Source organism: Homo sapiens, chromosome 9 (assembly GCF_000001405.40).
Source record: "Homo sapiens chromosome 9, GRCh38.p14 Primary Assembly".
Lineage (NCBI taxonomy): Eukaryota > Metazoa > Chordata > Mammalia > Primates > Hominidae > Homo > Homo sapiens.
This window is the reverse complement of record NC_000009.12, coordinates 128,339,041-128,362,077: the sequence shown is the minus strand read 5'-3', so window position 1 is coordinate 128,362,077 and position 23,037 is coordinate 128,339,041. Positions and strand designations below refer to the sequence as shown.

At 54.9% G+C, this 23,037-nt stretch overlaps 1 protein-coding gene, 1 non-coding gene and 1 pseudogene across 5 annotated transcripts, besides 5 other annotated features; 1 reads left to right on the top strand and 2 right to left on the bottom strand.

Moving 5' to 3' along the window:
• SLC27A4 (solute carrier family 27 member 4) lies at positions 608-21,551 on the bottom strand. Of its 4 annotated transcripts, none has more exons than XM_024447391.2 (14): positions 21,461-21,551; positions 21,240-21,324; positions 18,785-18,951; positions 16,529-16,923; positions 13,375-13,533; positions 11,697-11,766; positions 11,503-11,594; positions 9,331-9,440; positions 8,844-9,053; positions 8,537-8,663; positions 6,888-7,025; positions 6,516-6,680; positions 6,282-6,428; positions 608-1,744 (listed from the first exon to the last, which is right to left on the bottom strand). In XM_024447391.2, exons 3-14 carry the CDS (start codon positions 18,943-18,945, stop codon positions 1,587-1,589), a joined length of 1,932 nt encoding a protein of 643 aa, XP_024303159.1. In that variant the 5' UTR covers positions 18,946-18,951; positions 21,240-21,324; positions 21,461-21,551; the 3' UTR covers positions 608-1,586. The 4 variants fall into 4 exon arrangements, with proteins under 4 accessions (XP_024303159.1, XP_016869711.1, NP_005085.2 ...); XM_017014222.2 differs by having other exon boundaries at positions 21,495-21,551; NM_005094.4 differs by having other exon boundaries at positions 21,240-21,551.
• TMSB4XP4 (TMSB4X pseudogene 4) lies at positions 19,318-19,921 on the bottom strand (annotated as a pseudogene).
• Positions 20,209-20,388: an enhancer, noted in NCBI's record as "active region_29079". NCBI's record gives its function as "activates an Ori minimal core promoter by ATAC-STARR-seq in GM12878 lymphoblastoid cells {active_cell/tissue: GM12878}" and the evidence as "EXISTENCE:reporter gene assay evidence [ECO:0000049][PMID:35858748]".
• Positions 21,025-21,424: a silencer, noted in NCBI's record as "silent region_20337". NCBI's record gives its function as "represses an Ori minimal core promoter by ATAC-STARR-seq in GM12878 lymphoblastoid cells {active_cell/tissue: GM12878}" and the evidence as "EXISTENCE:reporter gene assay evidence [ECO:0000049][PMID:35858748]".
• Positions 21,495-21,904: a silencer, noted in NCBI's record as "silent region_20336". NCBI's record gives its function as "represses an Ori minimal core promoter by ATAC-STARR-seq in GM12878 lymphoblastoid cells {active_cell/tissue: GM12878}" and the evidence as "EXISTENCE:reporter gene assay evidence [ECO:0000049][PMID:35858748]".
• Positions 21,495-22,174: a biological region, named in NCBI's record as "ReSE screen-validated silencer GRCh37_chr9:131102183-131102824".
• Positions 21,533-22,174: a silencer, noted in NCBI's record as "fragment chr9:131102183-131102824 (GRCh37/hg19 assembly coordinates)". NCBI's record gives its function as "represses an EF-1alpha promoter that drives an FKBP-Casp9 reporter gene in an ReSE screen in HepG2 liver carcinoma cells {active_cell/tissue: HepG2}" and the evidence as "EXISTENCE:reporter gene assay evidence [ECO:0000049][PMID:32094911]".
• TRR-TCT3-1 (tRNA-Arg (anticodon TCT) 3-1) lies at positions 21,912-22,002 on the top strand. The gene is given in 2 exon segments: positions 21,912-21,948; positions 21,967-22,002. It is a non-coding gene; the product is annotated as a tRNA-Arg (tRNA).

Below are 23,037 nucleotides of genomic sequence, written 5' to 3'. Positions count from 1 at the left end.
CATGCGTGGAATGGAGGCTTTCTGGCTTCCCCCGCCTTCTGCACCAGGAGGCAGGGTGGTGTGGCAGGAAGGGCACGGGCTCCATTCCAGCCCTCTCTACTTGCTGTGAGATGTTGGCCATGTAACTGAAAACCTCCAAGTTCTGGTTCCTTCCTTAGAAAGCCCATAGTGGAGATAAAGGCCCAGGGGCTTGCACTGCCCACCGCCCTGGGCTGTGCTGGAACCCCTTCCCATTGGGCAGTGAGTTTCCAGCGTGGGTGTGACTCCTCCATCGGGGCCTAGGAGACAGCTGGCTCTCCACCGGCACTGCTGGTGGGACAGCTGTGTTGACTGTTCCAGGAAGCTTCCCTGGCCTCTGTCCGGGCTGCCAGGCAGCCTTGCTTTGGCTCTCACTGCAGCCCCCACCCCTGCAAATCTTTCCCGCCCCTAAACAACTGGGAAAATGCACCTCAGGCGGAGTCAGGGTCCTGCCCGAGGTGACGGTTTCCCCTCAAGCTCCTTACTCGTGATAGCACTTTTAGCTTCTGAATCCTCTTAACTGATGAATCCCATTTCACAGATGAAACTGAGTCATTTCCCCAAGGCCACACACTTAGAGTGACAGAGCTGGTTTGGACTTTCAAGCCCACACTGTTAAACACCTTGCCAGATTCACATGGGCACTGCCCCCGGCTGAACCAGCACATTGGAGGCAGGGGCTGCGGCATCTTACCTGCTACACCCTCAGCTTAGATAAGTGAATGAACAGATGAGGCGGGTCAATGGGCCAGGGGGTTGGCGTGGGGGATCAAGCGGCCACAGTGGGGCTGTGGGGTTCTGGGGTCAGGGTGGGCTTGGGTGGTTTGCACACAGGCTAGGAGGACTCAAGGCAGAGTTTATTGGCCCCTGAGCCCCCTCTCCCATTCCTCCTCCCCTCATAGCCAGGCCAAGACTGAGATGGAGGTGACACAGACCCACAAGGACTGAGAGGCCCTGCCTGAGGGATAATCAGGCAGCCACCCAGGGAGGAGGATGGGGGAGTGGGGAGAGGCCAGGGGCGTGGTCCTGACCTCCTGCTGTAGATGGGGCATCAGGGGCCACCTACAGATGTCAGGTCCTCTCCTCCCCTCCTGGAGGTGGGGGTGGAGCCCAGTGAACTTGGGCAGCTCTGGGGCTACGATTCTCTTTGGCCACCAGATGGATGCTACCACTGTCCCTGCCCACTCTGTTGACTTCCTGAGTCTGGGGACTTCTGCTCTGGTTCCATTTATAAGCTCCCTGCTCTCTGGGAAGGGCTCGGTGACCCCTTGTCCTCTCCCTACCCTCACCCAAGACATCATCCTGAGAAAACCCGTCAGTCTCAGCCTGGGAACCAGAGGGCCTGCCCAGCCCAGAAGACGGAACTTGGACATGAGACTTTCACAGAAAGCCTCTGGAAGGGTTGGGAAGGCAATGAGTCACTTGGCAGTTTTGGATGGAGGGGCAGCACCTCAGGATGGAGGTGCCAGGCCCTGCTTGCTTTGGTCTGGCCTTGTCCAGGACCGCTCTGGGGCGGAACCTGGGGCTCCGGATCCAGCATCCGCCGGCCCTCAGAGGGATGGGGGGAATCACAGCTTCTCCTCGCCTGCCTGGATGCGGCTGTAGGCCTCTTGGTCCAGCGGGACGTAGCGGCCCTTCTGGGCATCTAGATAGAACAGCGGGTCTTTCACAATAGCCGGGTCAAAGCCCTCCTTCCGTAGCTCTGTCTTCTGGAACTTGTAGGTTCCTGGGAGAGCAGGGAAGAAGACTCAGTGCAGGGCAGGGGCCCGAGCTCCCAGCTTCCCAACCACCAGTACTGAGGAAGGCAGGGAGCAGGGCTGGAGGACAAACAGGGGAGGGAAGTGGGGGAGGAGGCACAGCCCTTTACAGTTTGCAAAGAATGGTCATACAGCAGCTGTGGCAAAGTTGGGGCATGGGGACAGCTGCTAGTTACCCACCCACCCCTACTTTGCAGATGGGAAAACAGGCCTGGAGAAGGGAGGCTATTTGCCTAGTGTCACATGCTGAGTGACAGCAGAGTGGGGACCAGAACGGAGGTCTTCTGACTGTGATGTCTCCCTTTGAGTACCTACCAGGTAACAGTGTGAGCTTATTTCATCTGTACATCAGCCCCATAAGGCAGGTGCTCAACCGTATTCTCTGGATTCTAACACGGACGTGCTTGCAGATTTTAACATCTCTGAACTAGTATAATTAGCAGCACATATTTTCTTACTCGTACATAAAAAATTCATGGTATTTTTTTCTTTTTTATTGAGACAGGGTCTCACTCTATCACCCAGGCTGGAGTGAAGTGATGCCATCTCAACTCACTGCAACCTCCACCTGCCGACCTCAAGTGATCCTCCTACCTCAGCCTCCCAAGTAGCCAGGACTATAGGTGTGCACCACTGTGCCTGGCTAAGTTTTGTAATTCTTTCTTTCTTTCTTTATTGGAGACGGAGTCCTGCACTGTCACCGGGGCTGGAATGCAGTGGCACGATCTTGGCTCACTGCAACCTCGGCCTCCCGGGTTCAGGCGATTCTCCTGCCTCAGCCTCCCAAGTAGCTGGGATTACAGGCACCCACCACCACGCCCAGCTAATTTTTTGTATTTTTAGTAGAGACGGGGTTTCACCATGTTGGTCAGGCTGGTCTCGAACTCCTGATCTCAGATGATCCACCCTCCTCGACCTCCCAAAGTGCTGGGATTACAGGCGTGGGCCACTGCGCCTGGCCAAGTTTTGTATTTCTTGTAGAGATGGGGTTTCGCCATGTTGCCCACCCAGATCTTGAACTCCTGGGCTCAAGCGAGCTACCTGCCTCAGCCTCCCAAAGTGCTAGGATTACAAACATGAGCTGCCACGCCTGGCCGCATCTTTCAATCAATGGTATTAATCCTGTACAGATGAGAAGACTGATGCTCAGGGTGGTAGAACTGGGATTGGAACCTGGATGAGACAGACTACCAAAAATGGCTGCAGATTCCTCCCCTCCCTGTACACACACACCTCTGCTATGTGGCTTTGGCACTTCTCCTGGCAAGAGCTCGACTTTTTCAATCTCCATTGGCCTCAATCTGGACTGGCTTTACAACTTGCTTTAACCAACAGAAGGTGGCAAAAGCAATGTTGTAGGAGTTCTGGGTGAGTCTAGGCCTCGGGGGACCTTGCATCTTCCACCTCTACCTGCTTGGGGGTGCCCTGGGGCTAGTCTAGCCTTCCAAAGGGTGAGAGGCCACGTGGAGCAGAGATGAGCCATCCCAGGTGAGGGCCCAGACCGGCGCCGTCCAATATGACCTCATGTGGCTATTTACATTTAAATTATTAAACAAGGCCAGGCATGGTGGCTCACGCCTGTAATCCCGGCACTTTGGGAGGCCAGGGTGGGCGGATCACCTGAGGTCAGGAGTTCGAGACCAGCCTGGCCAACATGGCAAAACCCCATGTCTAATAAAAAAAATACAAAAATTAGCCAGGTGTGGTGGCACGTGCCTGTAATCCCAGCTACTGGGGACGCTGAGACAGGAGAATCACTTGAACCCAGGAGGCAAAGGTTGCAGTGAGCTGAGATTGCACCACTGCACTCCGGCCTGGGCGATAGAGCAAGACTCCATCTCAAATAAATAAATAAATTTAAGTTAATTAAACAAAATTTAATCCCAAAGTGTTGGGATTACAGGCGTGAGCCACGGCGTCCAGCCAGCAGCCACCTTTCAAGTGCTCAGTAGCTCTGCCAGGCTAGTGGCTACTGTGTTGGACAGCAGAAACCTAGAACATTTCCATCGCTGCAGAAAGTTCTGTTGGACAGTGCTGCAGAGGTAAGCAGCCGAGAGCCAGACACGTGGGTGAGGCCATCTAACTGCCTCTTGCCCCAGCTAAGTTACTAAGTGATGACCCCAAAGCAAGGTCAATAGAAGAACTGCTCAGCTGCACTTAACCCCTAAATTGCTTACCCACAGAATTATGCATCAATAAACTGGTTGTTTCGAGCCATTTTGGGGCAAGTAAGTTTGGGGGTGGTTTGTTCTGCAGCAAAGCCCATCTGAAATACAAGGTCTGAGAGCCTCCCTGCCTTTCCTGGACAGAAGTATGGTGCTGCTCAATCCTCCGGAAGCTCATGGTCTTGGCCATTAGCCTGGCCACAGTGTCTCCAACCTTCAGAACCACACTGAAGTCCTAAACCCTCCCCGATGCTTTAGGCACTCCAGGTACCCACTCTCTGGCAGAAGCCACATTGGCTAGGGAGTGCCCACCATCAAGGCAGGACTGATATGACGACAACGTGGGAGGTGGCCAGGGAAATGTGCTCCAAAGGGTGAGCAGCCAGGGAGGGCCCAGAAGAGGCACCAAGGGCTGAGGAAAGCAGGGGCAGGTATGGGCATGAGCCTCAGCATTTCCTGCCCACCAGGGAACTCTTGAGAGCCACCAATGGGCCAACAGATAGAAAGATGGTGCTGCCTTGTGGGCGACTGCGGGCCCGCTGCCCACCTCCCACCTGGACAACTGCAACAGCCCCTCCCTCGTCTCCCAGCTCCCTCAGGGCTGCCTGCAATCCTCTCCCACTCCGTACACAGCAGCCAGAGAGCTTTGTAGAGCATGAGTCTGACCAGGTTCCCACCTGCTAAGATGCTTTTTTTTTGAGACAGAGTCTCACTCTGTCGCCCAGGCTGGAGTGTAGTGGCATGATCTCAGCTCACTGCAACCTGTGGCTCCTGGGTCTCCTGGGTTCAAGCAATTCTCCTGTCTCAGCCTCCCGAGTCGCTGGATTACAGGTATGTACCACCACGCCCGGCTAATTTTTTTTTTTTTTTTTTTTTGAGACAGAGTCTCACTCTGTCTCCCAGGCTGGAGTGCAGTGGCACGGTCTCGGTTTACTGCAACCTCCACCTCCCAGGTTCAAGTGCTTCTCATGCCTCAGCCTCCCAAGTAGCTGGGATTACAGGCGCCCACCACCATGCCTGGCTAATTTTTTTTTTTTTTTTTTTGAGACGGAGTCTCACTCTGTAGCCCAAGCTGGAGTGCAGTGGCGTGATCTCAGCTTACTACAACCTCCACCTCCGGGGCTCAAGCGATCCTCCTGCTGCAGCCTCCCAAGTAGCTGGGACTACAGGCGCCCACCACCATACCTGGCTAATTTTTTTGTATTTTTGGTAGAGACGGGGTTTCATCATGTTGCCCTGGATGGTCTCAAACTCCTGAGCTCAGGCAATCCATCTGCCTTGGCCTCCCAAAGTGCTGAGATTACAGGTGTGAGCCACCATGCTCAGCCTAATTTTTTTATTTTTATGTTTGTATTTTTAGTGGAGATGGCATTTCACCATGTTGGCCAGGCTGGTCTCGAACTCCTGACCTCAAATGATCCGCCCACCTTGGCCTCCTAAGTGCTGGGATTACAGGCGTGAGCCACCACGCCCAGCCAGCTAATTTTTATATGTTTAGTGGAGACGGGGTTTTGCCATGTTGGGCAGGCTGGTCTCGAACTCCTGACCTCAAGTGATCTGCCCGCCTTGGCCTCCCACCCAAAGTGCCGGGATTACAGGCATGAGCCACTGCGCCCGGCCTTGCTGAGATGCTTCTGTGGCTCCCTACTGCCCCCGGGACAGTCCCGACTCTTACCCTGGCCTGCAAGGCCCTGGGCTTCTGGCCCCTGCTGGTTTCTCTCCCACTTCATGCCACTGCCTGCCCCTCTCACTTGGCTCCAGCCTTGGGGGCCCCCTTTCGTTCCTCCAGCACCCAAGCTCCTTCCTGCTTCGGGGGCTTTACAGTGTCTATTCCTGCAGCCTAGAGTGCCTCCCACCGCCATAAAGTCCTTCCTTTCATTCAGGTCTCAGCTGAACCATCCCCTCCTCAGAGGAGCCTTCTAGTCATCCCAAGCGTCCCACCTTTTTGCTTTCCTATCAGCTTGCTCTGTGGTTCATTTTTCTTTTTATCTGTTTAACTCTAATCTCATGACAGATTATGTGGTCGATTCTTTACCTTTGGAATGCCTTGTCCTAGGCCAGCCTCTCTCCTGCTCTAAAACTCCAAGAAGGCAAAACATCCAGAGCTCACCAGCCGTATCCCGAGGCTTAGCGCTGTGCCTGGCACCTAATATGTGTTCTACTAAGGAACAATGTGTGTCTTCTCTGCCAGCCCCGTCTGCTCACCTCTACACAGGCAGGTCACTTTACCAACTGCCCGGCCAGGCTGTGTGCAGAGGTCAAGTAACAGCCAACCGGGTCTCTCCAGAAGGAAACGGGAAGGGACCTGGGATCCGAGAGCTGGAGCAGGGGAGGGACACACCTGTTTTGTGCAGCTCAGGCAGGAGGCGCAGGAAGATGGGGCGCGCATACAGGGGCAGTTCCTTCTCCAAGACCTGAGCAAAGCGCTCCAGGTCACAGTTGCCAGTGGGGCTGGCCACAGCAGCCATTCCGGCCCGGCCCTCGGTTCCTGGGGGTGGCAGGGTAGACACTGAGTAGCTGGTGGTGCCCCTGGGTGGTGCCTCCCTACCCACACCTCGCGCCTGCCTGCACATACCTGGCACCTCGACACCATACACGGCCACGTCAGCCATGTCCAGCAGGCGGCTGAGTGTGCCTTCCACCTCGGTGGTGGACACGTTCTCACCTTTCCAGCGGAACGTGTCCCCAGTGCGGTCTCGGAAGTACAGGTAGCCCAGCTCGTCCATCACCAGCACATCACCTAGGGAGGGGCCGGATGAGGCAGGGCTGGGCCTGGCCAGCTCTGAGACCAGGGCTCAAGCCAGGGAGGCTTTGCTGGAGCCCAAGGATTTGTTTGACCACAAGGGCCAGGACTGGGGGAGTCCTGGGAAGGTGTCCTCTGGAGGTGGGAGAAGGTCCCCTCCTCCCCCAACCCTCAGGAAGGGGCTGTGAAGGGCTGGGGACCCACCAGTAAGGTAGGCCTGGTCCCCCTTCTTGAAGACATCCTTGGCAATCTTCTTGTTGTTGGCGCCCTGGTTGAGGTAGCCATCGAAGCGGCGCAGGGGGTCTTTCTGGATGATGCGGCCCACCAGCTGGCCCGGCTCACCTGGGGTGGGGAAGGCAGGGTCAGATCTGCCCTAGGCAGCCTCTCCCACCCGTCCTGTCACCAGGTGTACCCTGCGTCTTTTTTTTTTTTTTTTTTTTTGAGACGGAGTTTTGCTCTTGTTGCCCAGGCTGGAGTGCAGCAGTGCAATCTTGGCTTACTGCAACCTCTACCTCCTGGGTTCAAGCAATTCTCCTGCCTTAGCCTCCTGAGTAGCTGAGATTACAGGCACACGCCAACAGGCCCAGCTAATTTTTTTTTTTTATTTTTTAGTAAAGATGGGTTTCATCCTGTTTGCCAGGCTGGTCTCGAACTCCTGACCTCAGGTGATCCACCCGCCTCGGCCTCCCAAAGTGCTGGGATTACAGGTGTGAGCCACCACTCCCAGCCTGTACTCTGTGTCTTGATCTGATTTGAGTCATGCTGCTTGCCACAGAAATGCCCCACCCTCCCCCAGCCCAGGAGCTCATCTTGGCAGGTCGGACACACTGAGCCAGTGATGTTTGTTCTCGAAACTGATGGGAGGATGAACATAAGTCAGGCTCCTTGGGGACAGCCTAACAAAGCCAGCGCCCCAAGCCTCTGCTCCATGCCGGGACCCACTCAGAGTTTTATGTTCTTTATGAAACATAATCCTCAGGCCAGCCCCATGTGTGGGTGCTGCCATGGGCACAGTTTGTAGATAAGGGGACTTAGGCACAGTGAGGCTGAATACTCGCCCATGACACAGAGCTAAGGAGCTGAGCCAGAATAAATCTCAAGCAGCCTGGACTCAGGGTCATTTGGAGTCAATATGAAAATGAATGAATGAGGGCCGGGCATGGTGGCTCACATCTGTAATACCAACATTTTGGGAGGCCGAGGTGGATGGATCACTTGAAGTCAGGAGTTCGAGACCAACCTGGACAACATGGTGAAACCCCATCTCTATTGAAAATAGAAAAACTAGCCGGGCATGGTGGGGTTTGCCTGTAATTCCAGCTACTCAGGAGGGTGAGAAAAGAGAATTGCTTGGCCGGGCGCGGTGGCTCACGCCTGTAATCCCAGCACTTTGGGAGGCCGAGGCGGGCGGATCACGAGGTCAGGAGATCGAGACCATCCCGGCTAAAACGGTGAAACCCCGTCTCTACTAAAAATACAAAAAATTAGCCGGGCGTAGTGGCGGGCGCCTGTAGTCCCAGCTACTTGGGAGGCTGAGGCAGGAGAATGGCGTGAACCCGGGAGGCGGAGCTTGCAGTGAGCCGAGATCCCGCCACTGCACTCCAGCCTGGGCGACAGAGCGAGACTCCGTCTCAAATAAAAAAAAAAAAAAGAATGAATGAATGGACTGATGTACAGATAGAATGGCGAATGAATGAATGAATGGATGGATACACAAATAAATGAGTAACTTGTAACCCTAAGAGCAGAGATAACTGATGGCCACTGGTCAGAACAAGGCTCCCCATCCACACGCGCCTGGCCTCCTTCCTTCCCAGGCCAACCCCTCCCTCTCTGACCCCGAAGTGGCAGACCTGGCTGGCAGGGAATGCAGACGCCGTCGGGCCCCCGGATCAGCTCCATGGTGTCCTCGTTGACACGTACCAACCGGATGGGGTACACGAAGGACAGGATGCGGCTATTGAAACCACAGGCCCCCACCTGCGAAGGCCAAGACTTGGGCCTGGGCTCTCTCACCATGGGCCCAAAACTGGACAATGAGGGGGAAGTGGGACTCCAGCACCCACACTCTCACGCTCGAACTCTGCCCTCCCCTCTGCATCCAGTGCCTTCTGTGGGCCATCCCTGCAGCAGCCTCGCCCATCCCCAACCTGGCCGCACCTGGCTGTCGAAGTTGCCCAGGCTACAGTTGCACTCTGTGGCCCCGTAGAACTCAGCCACCTGGGGTATGTGGAAGCGGCTGGAAAAGTTGGTCCAGATGGACTGCCGGAGGCCATTGCCTAGTGCCATGCGAACCTGGTGCTGGTTTTCTGCCTCCCGCGGTGGCTGGTTCAGGAGGTAGCGGCACAGTTCACCAATGTACTGCACAATCTGGGGGTGAACTTGGTGTGATTCGAGGCTCCAGAGGCTGCCCTCACTACACTAGGATTCTCCTGATCCCTCAAGCCCCTACTCTCCCCAGGGGCTGGCCATGCCATCCTTTCCCTCTCCGGGTCTCAGCCTTCCCATCTGAACAATGGGAACTTTGCCACAAATGAGCCCTTTGGAATGACTGGCCACCTCAGCTATAAGACAGATGCCCCGGAGTGTAGTTGGGAAGAGGGTAACTAGGGGAAAGGGACAGCTCACCCTTCCCGCTCTCGCTCACCGTGCAGTTGTACTTGATACAATCGTCCCAGAACCGGGAGGCTGAGAACTTCTTCCGAATCACCACCGTCATGCCATGCAGCAGGCACTGGCCGATTCCCACGATGTTTCCTGGAGGCAGAGGGATGGCCCCTGAGGGTCAGCGAGATGAAGACCCTCCCCGGCCCCAAATCAGTGATACTGCCATCCAGCCAGGCAGGCTTGTGCTGCCCTGCAGGCTTCTGCACCTCACATCTGCCTGCCTTGGGTGACCTCCTCCAAGAAGCCTCCCCGGCTTCCATCACCAGGCTCTTCCCTGGTGCTGCCCTCTTGCTCCCTGCCTCTCTCCTACACTCACATATACACCCGACTCTAAGCACCTGGAGGGCAGGAGCTATATTTATTCAAGCTGTCTTCCCTTAAGCCCCTACAAACAAGCAGCAATGCCATGCATATCTGTGGAAACAAACTGAAATGAGACAGGCCCAGATGCCCCGTGGGACACTGCCACACACACTGTGAGGCTGGTGTGCTCATCCTTTTTTCAATTTAAAACAACTTTTTTTTTTTTTTTTGAGACGGAGTCTCGCTCTGTCGCCCAGCCTGGAGTACAGTGATGCCATCTCGGCTCACTGCAAGCTCCGCCTTCCGGGTTCATGCCATTCTCCTGCATCATCCTCCCGAGTAGCTGGGACTACAGGCGCCCGCCACCACGCCCGGCTAATTTTTTTTTTTTTTTGTATTTTTAGTAGAGATGGGGTTTCATCGTGTTAGCCAGGATGGTCTTGATCTCCTGACCTCGTGATCCGCCCGCCTCGGCCTCCCAAAGTGTTGGGATTACAGGCGTGAGCCACCACACCTGGCCTAAAACAAAATTTTTTTTAGAGACAGGTCTCACCATGTTGCCCAGGCTGGCCTTAAACTCCCAGGCTCAAGTGATTCTCCTGTCTCAGCCTTCCCAGTAGCTGAGACCATAGGCATGTGCACCACGCCTGGCTAATCCTGTTTATTTTTATTTTTAAATTAAATTAAATTAATTTATTTATTTATTTTGAGACAGAGTCTTGCCCTGTCACCCAGGCTGATGTGCAATGGCACGATCTAGGCTCACTGCAACCTTTGCCTCCTGGGTTCAAACCATTCTCCTGCCTCAGCCTCCTGGGTAGCTGGGATTACAGGCACCCGCCACCAAGCCCAGCTACTTTTTGTACTTTTAGTAGAGACAGGGTTTCACCATGTTAACCAGGCTGGTCTCGAACTCCTGACCTCGTGATCCACTCACCTCCCAAAGTGTTGGGATTACAGGCGTGAGCCACTGCGCCCAGCCTATTTTTATTTTTTTTGAGACAGTGTCTCGCTCTGTTGCCCAGGCTGGAGTGCAGTGGCGTGATCTCAGCTCACTGCAACCTTTGCCTCCCAGGTTCAAGCAATTCTCATGCCTCAGCCTCACAGGTAGCTGGGATTACAGGCACACGCCACCAGACCCAGCTAATTTTTTTTTTTTTTGAGACAGTGTCTCGCTCTGTTGCCCAGGCTGGAATGCAGTGGCGTGATCTCAGCTCACTGCAACCTTTGCCTCCCAGGTTCAAGCAATTCTCGTGCCTCAGCCTCACAGATAGCTGGGACTACAGGCACACGCCACCACACCCAGATAATTTCTTTCTTTTTTTTTTTTCCGAGACAGAGTCTTGTACTGTTGCCCAGGCTGGAGTGCAGTGGCACGATCTTGGCTCACTGCAAGCTCCACCTCCCGGGTTCACGCCATTCTCCTGCCTCACCCTCCCGAGTAGCTGGGCCTACAGGCATGAGCCACCACACCTGGCTAATTTTTTGTACTTTTAGTAGAGACGGGGTTTCACCGTGTTAGCCAGGATGGTCTCGAACTCCTGGCCTCAAGTGATCCGCCCACCTTGGCCTCTCAAAGTGCTGGGATTACAGGTGTGAGCCACCACACCCAGCCTAATTTTTGTATTTTTAGTAGAGATGGGGTTTTGCCATGTTGGCCAGGCTGGTCTCGAACTCCTGGCCTCAAGTGATCCGCCCACCTTGGCCTCCCAAAGTGCTGGGATTACAGGTGTGAGTCACTGCGCCTGGCCCAAAGCTGTGTGTTTCTACTGCAGCACACTGCCTGATGGGGGTGGGGTTCCTAGAGACCTGGCAGGTGCTGGAGGCTGTGTGACAGCCCTAGAGTTACCTGCTGAGTGGTAGAGGGGGAGGCAGTCATAGACGATGTCGTTGGGCCGCATGCGGAATCCATAGTACACCAGGGCAGCCATGCGGTAATACCTGGGAAGGCACAGGGCCAAGGGCTGAGCGGGCCCTAGAAAGGCAGAAGGAGGCTCCCCAGCCCTGCCTGTGCCTACCCCACCCTGGGCACCTGCCCCTTACCTGCTGTGCACCACGATGGCGGCCTTGGGCAGCCCTGTGGTGCCGGATGTGTAGATGTAGAACAGTTTATCTAAAGAAAACAGACGCGAGTGGCTGTCGGGGGCAGCTCAGGGCTGGGCAAAGGGTCACACAAATGGACACCTGCAGGTGTGCACCCTTCAACACCTGTTCCCATCACACCCTTGCTAGGAAGCCTGTTCTGATAACCTCAGATACCATTCAGCTCTAACACCGGCATCCATTCCAACAAATATTTCCTGGGCCCTTGCTCTGTGCTAGGCCCTGGTGGAGAGAGACATCAGTGAGTAAGATGGGCACGGGCCTGGCCCTCTTGGCAGTCACAGCTCAGTGGAACAGTCAGATGAGGACACAGGCAATTCCAATACTAAGCAACAAGTGCCGAGGGAGGGCACAGGACCTGTTGAAACCCAGTAGCCACATTTGGCCCAAGCTTGCAGGAGGGGAGGTGGTGCCAGGTGGGCTTCACGATAAAGGTGACACCTGCCCCAAGTCATAGAGCACAGGGAGGCATTAGCTGCAGGAAGTGGGGTGTTGAGGTAGCTTCCGCACTGCTGAGCATTGATCTGTCCCACTCTGCAGCCCTCGACAGGGATTGCCACGTTAGAGTTTCTATGTGAGGCTCGGCCCTACCAGACTTGAGGTTCCCTGGAGGTCAGGAACTCCACAGGCAGACTCCACGTGTTTAGAATGCCTGCCGAGACACCTCATGCTCTCTGCCTGCCTGCTGTTTGCCAGCCCTAGGCACTATGAGGGCACCAGAGCAACCAGCCAGAGTCCCTGCCCTCAAGCAGCTGACAAATGCACCCAAGAGACCAGATTCACATACAAGAGAGAAGTTAAACAGTGCTGATGACAATGACCAGTTACTGAGCCCCTCCTGCCACACCCTAGCTTCAGGACTGGCCCCACTGTATTTTTTTCAACCCTCAAAGATACCCCATAGAGTAGGTTCTGCTACTGTCCCCAGTTTTATGGCTGTGGGAACTGAGGCTCCAAGGGCAGGGCAGGTGTCAGGGTTCACACAAAGGAAGCAGTAGAACCAGGATATAAACTCGGATCTGACTCGACAGCCCAAGCTCTGAGCCACCAGGCAATGTGGCTTCACAGGAAAGAGAATGAGAAGAGCAGAAGAACCAGGTAGGCTACAGTATAAAAGAAGAGGGGTGAGAGGCTCAGGAAGGCTGCCTGGAGGTGGGGTCAGGGAGGCAGCACAGTGCTGGGAGAGGATCACAGCTGGAGATCCTGAAGTGTCCTGCACTGAAGAGGCACTTGATGAATATACAAAGGGTCTTGCTCCTCACCCACCCTCCCACCCAACCCCAACCAAAGCCCAGACCAGGCAGGTTCCCGGAGTCCACAGGATTCTGCCCATTAGGCATCAATGAAGGCTTGTTCAACAAATCACACTGGACTTTGTGAGCTCCTGTGTTCTCAGCCCTGTATCTGGCACTGATACACATCAGCTCATGTCACCTTCACAGTAACCCTGGAGTGGCCCAGGTTTACTGTCACCATTTTCCAGATGGAAAAAGGGAGGTGACGTGACATGTTCCAGGCACATGGCAAGTTTCCAGAAAAGCCTCCTTCTGGCACTGAGGCCAGTGCTCTGTCCAGGGCCTGTGTGAGAGCCCCTCTATGGGGAGGGGATGGAGCCCACCTGTGAAGCCCTTGTCAGGGCAACTGGGAAGGTGCTTGGGAGCATCTTTCAGCAGAGGGTCCAGGTGTTCTGTGCTTGGAGGCACCGCACCGGGCTCCCAGGAGCCAGAGCAGAAGAGGCTGAGCGAGGGGTCCAGGCTGGCATGGACCTCACAGATGGCTGTGGGGAGACAGGGCAGTCAGCAGGCAGGCCAGAAAACCCCATGTTCCCAGGGACCTCTGCTCCCAGCAGGGCTGGCCATGTTGCTGAGGATACTGGCTGGGCAGGAGGAGAGGCAGTGAAGCAACTGGGCCTTCAGTGTTGACAGGGGCACCGGCAATGGTTCTATTAGCCATGGGCTAACCACAGAGTAGGTCCGCTTTACCTGCATTCCCTGGTCTCACAGCCCTGGGAAGGAGGGACCATTGACAGCCCCTCTTACAGATGAGAAGATTGACGCTCCGAGAATGAGAGGACCTGCTCACAGCTAGAATGTGCTGGACCTGGCGTGCAATGCCAGCTCTACCTCACATCAAGGTCTGGGCTCCCCCCCACTATCCCGCACTACTTACTCTGTGGTGCACCAGATAGAAGGGAGGAGTGCGGGTCAGAGGCCAGTGGCCCTCCATCCCCTTCCGAGAGCGGGAACCTGCTTTCAGGCTCCCCTGCGCACTGCACGGACATCACATAACCCCCACCCCCGGGCATGGAGCAGCGCTGGTCGGCTTGGCCCCACCTTCCTGGCTTCCTCTTGATTTGCCCAACCCTCTCTTCTTCCCTGGCTGCCTTCTTCCCTCTCCCCTTTCAGCACCATTTTTTTCTTTCCTTTCTTTTTTTTTTTTTTTCTTTTGCTTTTTTTAAATAGAGACAGACAGGGTCTCACTATATTGTCCAGGCAGGTCTTGAACTCCTGGGCTCAAGAGATTCTCCTGCCTTGGCCTCCCAAAGTGCTGGGATTACAGGCATGAGCCACTGTGCCTGGCCCCCTTTCAGCATCTTTTTTTTTTTTTTTTTAAGACAGAGTTTCACTCTGTCGCCCAGGCTGGAGTGCAGTGGCATGATCTCGGCTCACTTGGTTCAAGTGATTCTTGTGCCTCAGCCTCCTGAGTAGCCAAGATTACAGGCGTGTGCCACCACACCTGGCTAATTTTTGTATTTTTAGTAAAAACAGGGTTTCACCATGTTGGCCAGTCTAGTCTTTAACTCTCGAGCTCAGGTGACCTGCCCTCCTTGGCCTCCAAAAGTGCTGGGATTACAGGCGTGAGCCACCATGCCAGGCCCCCTTTCAGCATCCTAATGACTTCCCTATTCATTATCCCACAACCACAACAGTGTGGGGAGAAAAAACAGAGTGCTGTGATCAAGCTGAAGATCAAACCCCAGTTCTACCACTTACTAACTGTGTGATCTTGGGTGAGCTCCTCACAAACCCCTCTGAACTCCAGGCTCATCATCCATAAAACCAAGATCCCTACCTCACTCGGTCTTTATAGAGATTAGAGCTGCTCTTGGAAAGCAGCAACCTCAGTACTTTGCAGGTGCCCAATGTGGCAGCAAATAAAATGCAGGCTCTGTGAGGAAAGTGGGGAATTAATTTTGTTCCCATTTTACAGATGAGCTAGATACGGCCTAATTAGTCACAAGGATGATTACCATTGTACTGAGGGGCCACCTAGCATCAGCCATGTTGCTAGTGCTTCAGGTAAGTATCTTTTTTTTTGACACGTAACCTCTCTCTGTCATCCAGGCTGGAACACAGTGACGTGATCTCGGCTCACTGCAACCTCTGTCTCCTGGGTTCAAGCGATTCTCCTACCTCAGTCTCCCGAGTAGCTGGGACTACAGGTGCGCACCACCATGCTCGGCTAGGTTTTTTTTTGCATTTTTATTAGAGACGGGGTTTCACCATGTTGGCCAGGCTGGTCTCAAACTCCTGATCTCAAAGCTGCCCACCTCGACCTCCTAAAGTGCTGGGATTTACAGGCATGAGCCACCACACCCGGCCTTTTATTTTGTTTTTTTTGAGACAGGGTCTCACTCTGTCTGCCAGGCTAGAGTGAAGTGGCACAATCATCACTCACTGCAGCCTCAACCTCTTAGTCTTAAGTGATCCTCCTGCCTCAGCCTCTGAGTAGCTGGGACTACAGGTCCATGTCACCAAGCCTAGCTAATTTTTTAAAAACTTTTTTTAGGCCGGGCGTGGTGGCTCATGCCTATAATCCCAGCACTTTGGGAGGCCGAGGCGGGTGGATCACGAGGTCAGGGATTGGAGACCAGCCTGACCAACATGGTGAAACCTCGTCTCTACTAAAAATACAAAAAAATTAGCTGGGCGTGGTGGCGGGTGCCTGTAATCTCAGCTACTCAGGAGGCTGAGGCAGGAGAATTGCTTGAACCCGGGAGGTGGAGGTTGCAGTGAGCCGAGATCACGCCACTGCACTCCAGCCTGGGCGACAGAGCAAGACTCTATCTCAAAACAACAACAACAAAAAAAACAAAAAAAAACAAAAAACTTTTTTTAGTAGGCCAGGTGTGGTGGTTCATGCCTATAATCCCAGCACTTTGAGAGGCAGAGGTAGGTGGATCGCTTGAACTCAAGAGTCTGAGACCAGCCTGGGCAACATGGCAAAACTGAGTATCTACAAAAAATGTGAAATTTAGCCAGGCATGGTGGTGCATGTCTGTGGTCCCAGCTATTCAGGAGGCTGAGGTGGAGGGACTGCTTGAGCCTGAGAGGTCAAGGCTGCAGTGAGCTGTGACTGCACCACTGCACTCCAGCCTGGGTGACAGGGCAAGACCCTGTCTCAAAAAAATTTCTTAGTAGAGACAGGGTCTTACTATGTTGCCTAGGCTGGTCTCAAACTCCTGGGCTCAAGGGATCCTCCTGCCTTGGCCTCCCAACATGCTGGGATTACAGCTGTGAGCCACTATGCCCAGTCTGAAGTACCTTTTTGAAAACAGTATGAGGTAGGAACGACGGATGAGGAAACTGAGGCTCAGAGAAATCAGTCCCTTCCCCAGGATCTCGTTTACTCGTGGCACTGCCTAAGCTGTCTGACTCCACTCTGTGCCCTTAACCACTGACCCACACAGCCTTGGCAGGGCTGGAAGGGAGCTGTGGTCTGTGTAAGATCCCATGGGGTTCCTGCTTGTCCCCCGCCCCCTTGGGGCTCACCTGAGGCCATTTCGCTGCCAAAGACAAGGGCCCGTGCGCGCGAGGTGGTGAGGCAGTGGAGCAGAGCATCCCGCCGCAGGTTGGTGTTGATGAGGGCTGCCTCCACACCGAGCTTGGCCATGCCCAGCCATAGGCCCACGAACTCATTGCGGTTCTCCATGAAGATGGCAGCCACATCGCCCGAGGCCAGGCCCCGGGCCTGCAGGAAGTTGGCTACACTGCTTGAGTACTCATCCAGCTGGCGGAAGGTCCAGTGGGTATCTGTGCCCTCGAAGATCAGGGCCGTCTTGTCGGGGTGGCGCCGAACGGTAGAGGCAAACAAAATGGGCACTGTCCGCCGCTCCTGCAGGCACTGTCGCACCTTTGCCTTCACCTTCAGGAGGACCAGGCCGCCACTGTGTGTGAACAAGAGAGGGCGCTGTGTCTGCCATGGTTGGGAGGGAGGGGTCCTGACACCCTACCCCAGGCTGCTGCCTCGCCAGCCTATGCTTCATGAGCCAGACCCCCTACAACACTTCTATCTCCTGGCTCCTGCTGGGAACATGCACTGCCTTACTGATGCCTCTCAATAACACTGAGAGTTCGTATGATTCCCCTCCCCTTACACAGAAGGAAATCAAGGCTCTCGTGGTGCCGTGGCCTGCTCAAAGCTTCATGGATGGAGGGTGGCTGAGCTGAGATTTGAACTCTAGGCCTCTCTGGCTCCAGAGTTCTACTCCTACCCTCTCAGCCTGCTGCTCCAGCAGAAACCTCCTAGGTCTCCAGAGCTTCCTGTAAAAGTCCAAACTCCTTGTTTGGGGCCTCCCACAGTCCAGCTGCTCCCTCGACCCACCATGACCACAGTAAATAATGAATGAGTTTGCTGGTCTGTCCAGTCTTCCTCCCTGTGAGCCTAGCTGGGATAGGCTTCTGTCTTATTCAACACTCTATCCCCTGGGTCCTGTGCCAGGCAGAGTAGATGTTCAATAAGTTTGTGGAATCACTTGGCAACATCCCATTCCTGCCACCTTTGTTTTTTTGTTTTTTTTTTTGAGATGGCGTCACACTCTGTCACCCAGGTTGGAGTGCAGTGATGCAATGTCAGCTCATTGCAACCTCCACTTCCCAGGCTCAAATGATGCTCCCACCTCAGCCTCCCAAGTAGCTGGAACCACAGGTGTGCACCACCATGCCTGGCTAACTTTTTTGTATTTTGGTAGGGACGGGGTTTTGCCATGTTGCCCAGGTTAGTCTCAAACTCCTGAGGTCAAGTGATCCACCCACTTCGGCCTCCCAAAGTGCTAGGATCACAGGTGTGAGCCACTGCGCCCAGCCCTGGACTCCATGCCTTTGTTGCTGATGCTGTGCCTTCTGGTTGGATTCATCTCCTTCCACCACCACTAAGGCGCCTCTCAAGTACAGCCGCTTTTTCTCCAGGAGGCCTTCTCTGATTCCCAGGGTCCTGGCTGGCAGCTGTTTCTCCTTGCTCCATGCTCCCACAGCTACCACCCTTCCTGGTGTGCCACTCCGTGCCTTCTTTTGCAATCAACCAAGATTGACAAATGCTGAGCTGCCTGTGTGGGGTGTGGGTCACTGAACTGGGTGCTGGGACACAGTAGTGAGCAAGGCTGTGCCAGGGTCTCTGCCCACATGGCACTGCCAATTTACAGATGTGCTGTGTCCCTTTCTTTCTCCTGACCAATCTGAGCTTGGCAGATGGGGTCTGCCTTATTCCTCTCTGGACCCCAAAGCTAGCCTGGCACCTAGTAGAGAACAAGCGGGAATAGATATTTCTGGTACAGGATGTCCCTTGGAGCATACCGGGCTTTCTTTGGGGAGCAGGTTATCCCAGACATCTGAGTAGGGGCTCTGCTCTAGAACTCAGTGCCCCCTGTGCCATCTCACACCCCTGCCAACCTGAGGGCAGGGCCTTTCCCCAAAATTCCTCTTTACCCTTTCATAAACTTACAGAGTCCTCAGGACCCCTTGCAGATGTCTCAACACACTTGGTGTTCAATGTACGTCCTAGGCCAAGCCTGCCCAAGGCCTGGGAGCCTCAAGTTAGGGAGATTCCCTGGGAGAAGACTTTGACCTTGGAGATGGAGGGACCAGGTACTATTGCCAGGGTACGGGTGTGGAGCAGAGGCTGCTGTTCTGGAACTCAGCTCAGCTGCCCTGTGCTGGTAGAGAACATGAGGTCTGGCCTGGGGAGATTTGGGGGACCAGAAGCTCACTGTAGTGTGGCAGACCCCAGGAAAGGCTGGGCCAGGTACTCACAAGATATCGCGCCTGATGGTCTTGATGAAGACCCGGATGAAGCGCCAGCCGCCAGATCCCAAGTAGAGGAACAACAGGGAGAATCCCACCTGGGTCCAGGGCAGTTTCAGCACCAGCTTGGAGAACAGCAGCACCCCCACCAGAGAGGCTCCAAGCAGCATTGTGGCCTGCGGACACAGGGCAGTTAGTGGACCCAAACACCCAACCCTCCAGGTCTCCTACCTCCCAGCCCAGACAGCCAGGCCACTGTGATCCCAAGGGGACAGCCTGTGGTAAGGCTTAGCCATACTGAGTTGGGTGACTGACCACAGGGGTCCCTTTCCAGGCTTGGCCTGGAAGGGGCAGGCTAGGGGCTTGGCACTTGAGGTGAGGAATTCCAAGAGTGAGAAGCAGGAGGCTGGTTCTCGTCTCATAGTCCCATCTCTGCCCACCATTCTCCAAGTGACCTTGGGCAAGACCTTTTCACATTTTAGACCTTAGTATCTGCCCTCTGTGCAATGGGTGTAGTGAGACGTGTTCTTTTTTTTTTTAAGTTTTTAAACTTTTTATTTGCATATTAAAAAAACTGTGCATTCCAATAATTAAAATCATTTGAACAAAAAAAAAAATGGCACTCTGATTAAACTGCATTACAGCCTGCAGGACACCTTGGGCCAGCCTGGTTTTACTCTAGATTTCACTGTCGTCCCACCCCACTTCTTCCTTCACCAACAAGCAAGTTCTTTCCTTCCCTGCCAGCCAGATAGACAGATGGGAGAGGCAGGCGCAGCCTTCGTTGTCAGTAGTTCTTTGATGTGAAAGGGGCAGCATAGTCATTTAAACTTGATCCAACCTCTTTGCATCTTACAAAGTTAAACAGCTAAAAGAAGTAAAATAAGAAGGCAATACTTGTGGAATGTACAATGCATATTGGCGGTGCACGCCTCATTACGATTCGCTTGCTTGCTTCTCCTGTTCAATCGTTTCTTTGGAAGGCAGTGGATTTTTCTCTTGCATCTCTGTCTTCTTCAGTTTCGACTTATCGAATTTCTCAATCTCAGCCATATCGGGTTTGTCAGACATGGTTGCGGAGGAAAAGCGGAGCGAGGCATGCGAGAACGAGCGAAGTCTGGTCTGCGCAGTGGCCACCACCGAGTTGTCCTGAGACGTGTTCTAAGAGGCTTTTCTAGCCAAAACATGACAGTTCACTCTTCTGACATCCAGGGTCCCTAAAACCGGATGGCCTGGGGGTGGGTACTGACTTAAGAGCCTCTGGCTCGCTGGCAGTGGTGGCTCACACCTGTAATCCCAGCACTTTGGGAGGCCGAGGCAGGCGGATCATGACGTCAGGAGTTCGAGACCACCCTGACCAAGATGGTGAAACCCTGTCTCTACTAAAAATACAAAAATTAGCCAGGCATGGTGGCACACACCTGTAACCCCAGCTACTCAGGAGGCTGAGGCAGAAGAATTGCTTGAACCCGGGAGGCGGAGGTTCCATTGAGCCGAGATTGTGCCACTGCACTCCAGCCTGGGAGACAGAGCGAGACTCCGTCTCAAAAAAAGAAAAAAAAAGTCTCTGGCTCGACTCCCCACCCAGAACCCAGGGAGGTTCTGTGGATGACCAGGCCAAGTCAAAGGGGCAGCTCCCTGGAAAAGGAGCCCTGCTTGGTCCCTGCCCATAGACTCAGGTATCGCAGTGCGTCTGTTGGTCTATAGAGGGCGACCCAGAAAACGAGTTAGAGCCTGGAAGTGCTTGAAAGGTGACCGCCCAGGGGGCAAAGCTGATTGAGGGAGGCGAGGAGGACCTTGAAGACACCACCACCCATCACACAGACACACACAGCCACTCGGATGAATCTTTGGGGTCTAGGGCTTAGGGGAAGGCGAATGACTTGACTGTGCTTCAGGGGCTGGGTTGAGCTAGGACTCTTGGGTTCTATTCCTGGAGCTTTGAGGACTCGATCAAGGGGACATCTGATGGGACTGTTTTTCTCCGAGTTTTCCTGTTCTTGGGAGTAGATGAAGGTCACAAATGTGAAATGGCCTGAGAGCCTCCAAGCCAGGAAAAGGGAATGGTCTGGACCACAAGAAGCCCTGGGAGACCATCTCCCCCTCCCCCTCGCGAAAAGCAAAAGCCGGGGGCGGGGGAACTGAACCAGAGTCCTCAACCCCAACGCCAGGGTCCAGGGTCCTCAGATCTCTGGCCTCCCATAGCCCGCCATAGCAGAGGGGCAGGAACCTGTCCTGGAAGGCTGGGGCAAGAAGAGGCCAGAAGAGGGTGACTAGTTCCCTCGGGCCCCTGTCCCGGGTCACGCGTGCCGCCCTCGCCCCTAGACAGCAAGGTAACAGTGCGTCTGTCGGGGAAATAGCGCCGCAGGGCGCGCCCCCCACCTGGGGTCCGCACCGCCACCTCGCCCGACTCGGCCTGGCACATGTCCCCACCCGGGAACCCACCAGCCCGGTCTATGCTCACCCGGCGTCGGCTCCGCCGCGCGGCGCCCCGTCCAGATGCGGCCCGGTTGCAGCAGCGTAGACAGCGTGAGGGGCATTAGCCGCCCCTGGACGCACGGAGCCGGGTCTCAGCAGGGTTTAGCCGGCTCTGCGCCCTGCATGGCCCGGCCGCCCCGCCAGCCCCGCCCGCCGCCCGGCCCCGCCCGCCGCGCTCCTACCCCGCCCGCCTCCCGCACCCCAAACCTGCTGTGCCAGGCCGCAGCACCGCCTGCCGCACCTTCCCCGAAGCCGGCAAGCCACAGAGCCGGCGGCGCAGCGCAGCCCCAGCGCGCCTGACGCCGCTCGGCCCCAGCCCGCCCTGCTCGCGCAACGGCTTCGGGCGGCGCCGCCGCGCGGCACGCTGGGAGTTGTAGTCCACGCCGCGCGGCCCCACCCAGCCGAGGAGACCCCCGAGTCCGCGAGGAGACAGGCGGGCTTCACCCCGGCCCTTCCTCCCTGCCGACCCCGGCCCTTGCCCCCTGCTGTCCCCAGCGCCCGGATGTAGGAAGAGCACCCCAGTCCACACCACAGCCGAAAACCCGGAGCACGCTCTCGGGCCCCGGCCGAGTTCAGCAAACACCCAGCACCACACCTAGAAGCTCGCTAAGAGGGCGGTTTCAGGCAGAGGTGAGCGGGGCGGCCGGGTTCCGCAGCCGGCTCTGTGGCGCAATGGATAGCGCATTGGACTTCTAGCTGAGCCTAGTGTGGTCATTCAAAGGTTGTGGGTTCGAGTCCCACCAGAGTCGAATTTTGATGGCTCCTACTCCCTGACTTTCACCTGCGTGTTTTAAGGACTCCAGGACCTATCTAACAAATAAGGTTCAGAACGAAAATCATAAGTCACACCCAACTTTGCTGCGACACAGCCATAAACCTGGTGTCTAGGTGACTACGAGAAATCCTTTCTCGTACCATGGTGTCTTGTGAGCAGCCTGGCACACCTGTTGGCACAAAGGACACGGATTTGGAGGCCCTTAGTTAACTTCACCATCTATGATCTCTGGTCCCTGCAACAAATCAGTTAACCTATATTTGTCATGCCACCCTTATTTGTCATGCCACCTCCAGAGCCATAGGCGAGTGGCCAGATTCTCGGCCCTGTTGGGACTCTTGGCCTCTGAAAAATTGGTTTCTTGTTAAGTAACCATGTTGGGCATCCACAGTTGCCACTTGTCCTTAAACATTAATAGATCCCTGGGAGGCTGAGGCAGGAGAATTGCTTGAACCTGGGAGGCGGAAGTCGCAGTAAGCCGAGGTTGCGCCACTGCACTCCAGCCTGGGCGACAGAGCAAGTCTCCATCTCAAAAAAAAAAAAAAAAAAAAAAAAAAAAAAGATTCTGGGACTGGCGTGGTGGCTCAAGCTTGTAATCCCAGCACTTTTGGAGGCTGAGGCAGGAGGATCACTTCAGCCAGGAGTTCAAGACCAGCCTGGGCAACATAGTGAGACTCTGCCTCTACAGGAAAAAAAAAAAAATTAGCCAGGTAGCTCTTGCTTGTACTCCCAGCTACTCAGGAAGATGAGGTGGGAGGATTGCTTGAGCTCTGGAACTTGGGGCTGCAGTGAGCTGTGATTGCACCACTAAACTCCACCCTGGGCAACAAAGTAAGACCGTGTCTCAAAAAATAAAAATAAGCTGGGCACAGTGGCTCATGCCTGTAATCCCAGCACTTTGGGAGGTTGAGGTGGGCAGATCACATGACGTCAGGAGTTCGAGACCAGTCTGGCCAACAGGGCGAAACCCTGTCTCTATTAAAAATACAAAACTTAGCCGAGCGTGGTG

What these genes read in the sequence shown, in the direction of transcription:
- SLC27A4 (XM_047422664.1), bottom strand. Translation starts at nt 19,712, where the DNA reads ATGAGGCGTGCACCGCCAATATGCATT. An exon ending in TGGGCAACTTCGACAGCCAG is followed by an intron (nt 8,664 to 8,843) that starts GTGCGGCCAGGT and finishes TGGCCTTCGCAG; the next exon opens with GTGGGGGCCTGTGGTTTCAA. An exon ending in CTGCATTCCCTGCCAGCCAG is followed by an intron (nt 7,026 to 8,536) that starts GTCTGCCACTTC and finishes TCCCCACCCCAG; the next exon opens with GTGAGCCGGGCCAGCTGGTG.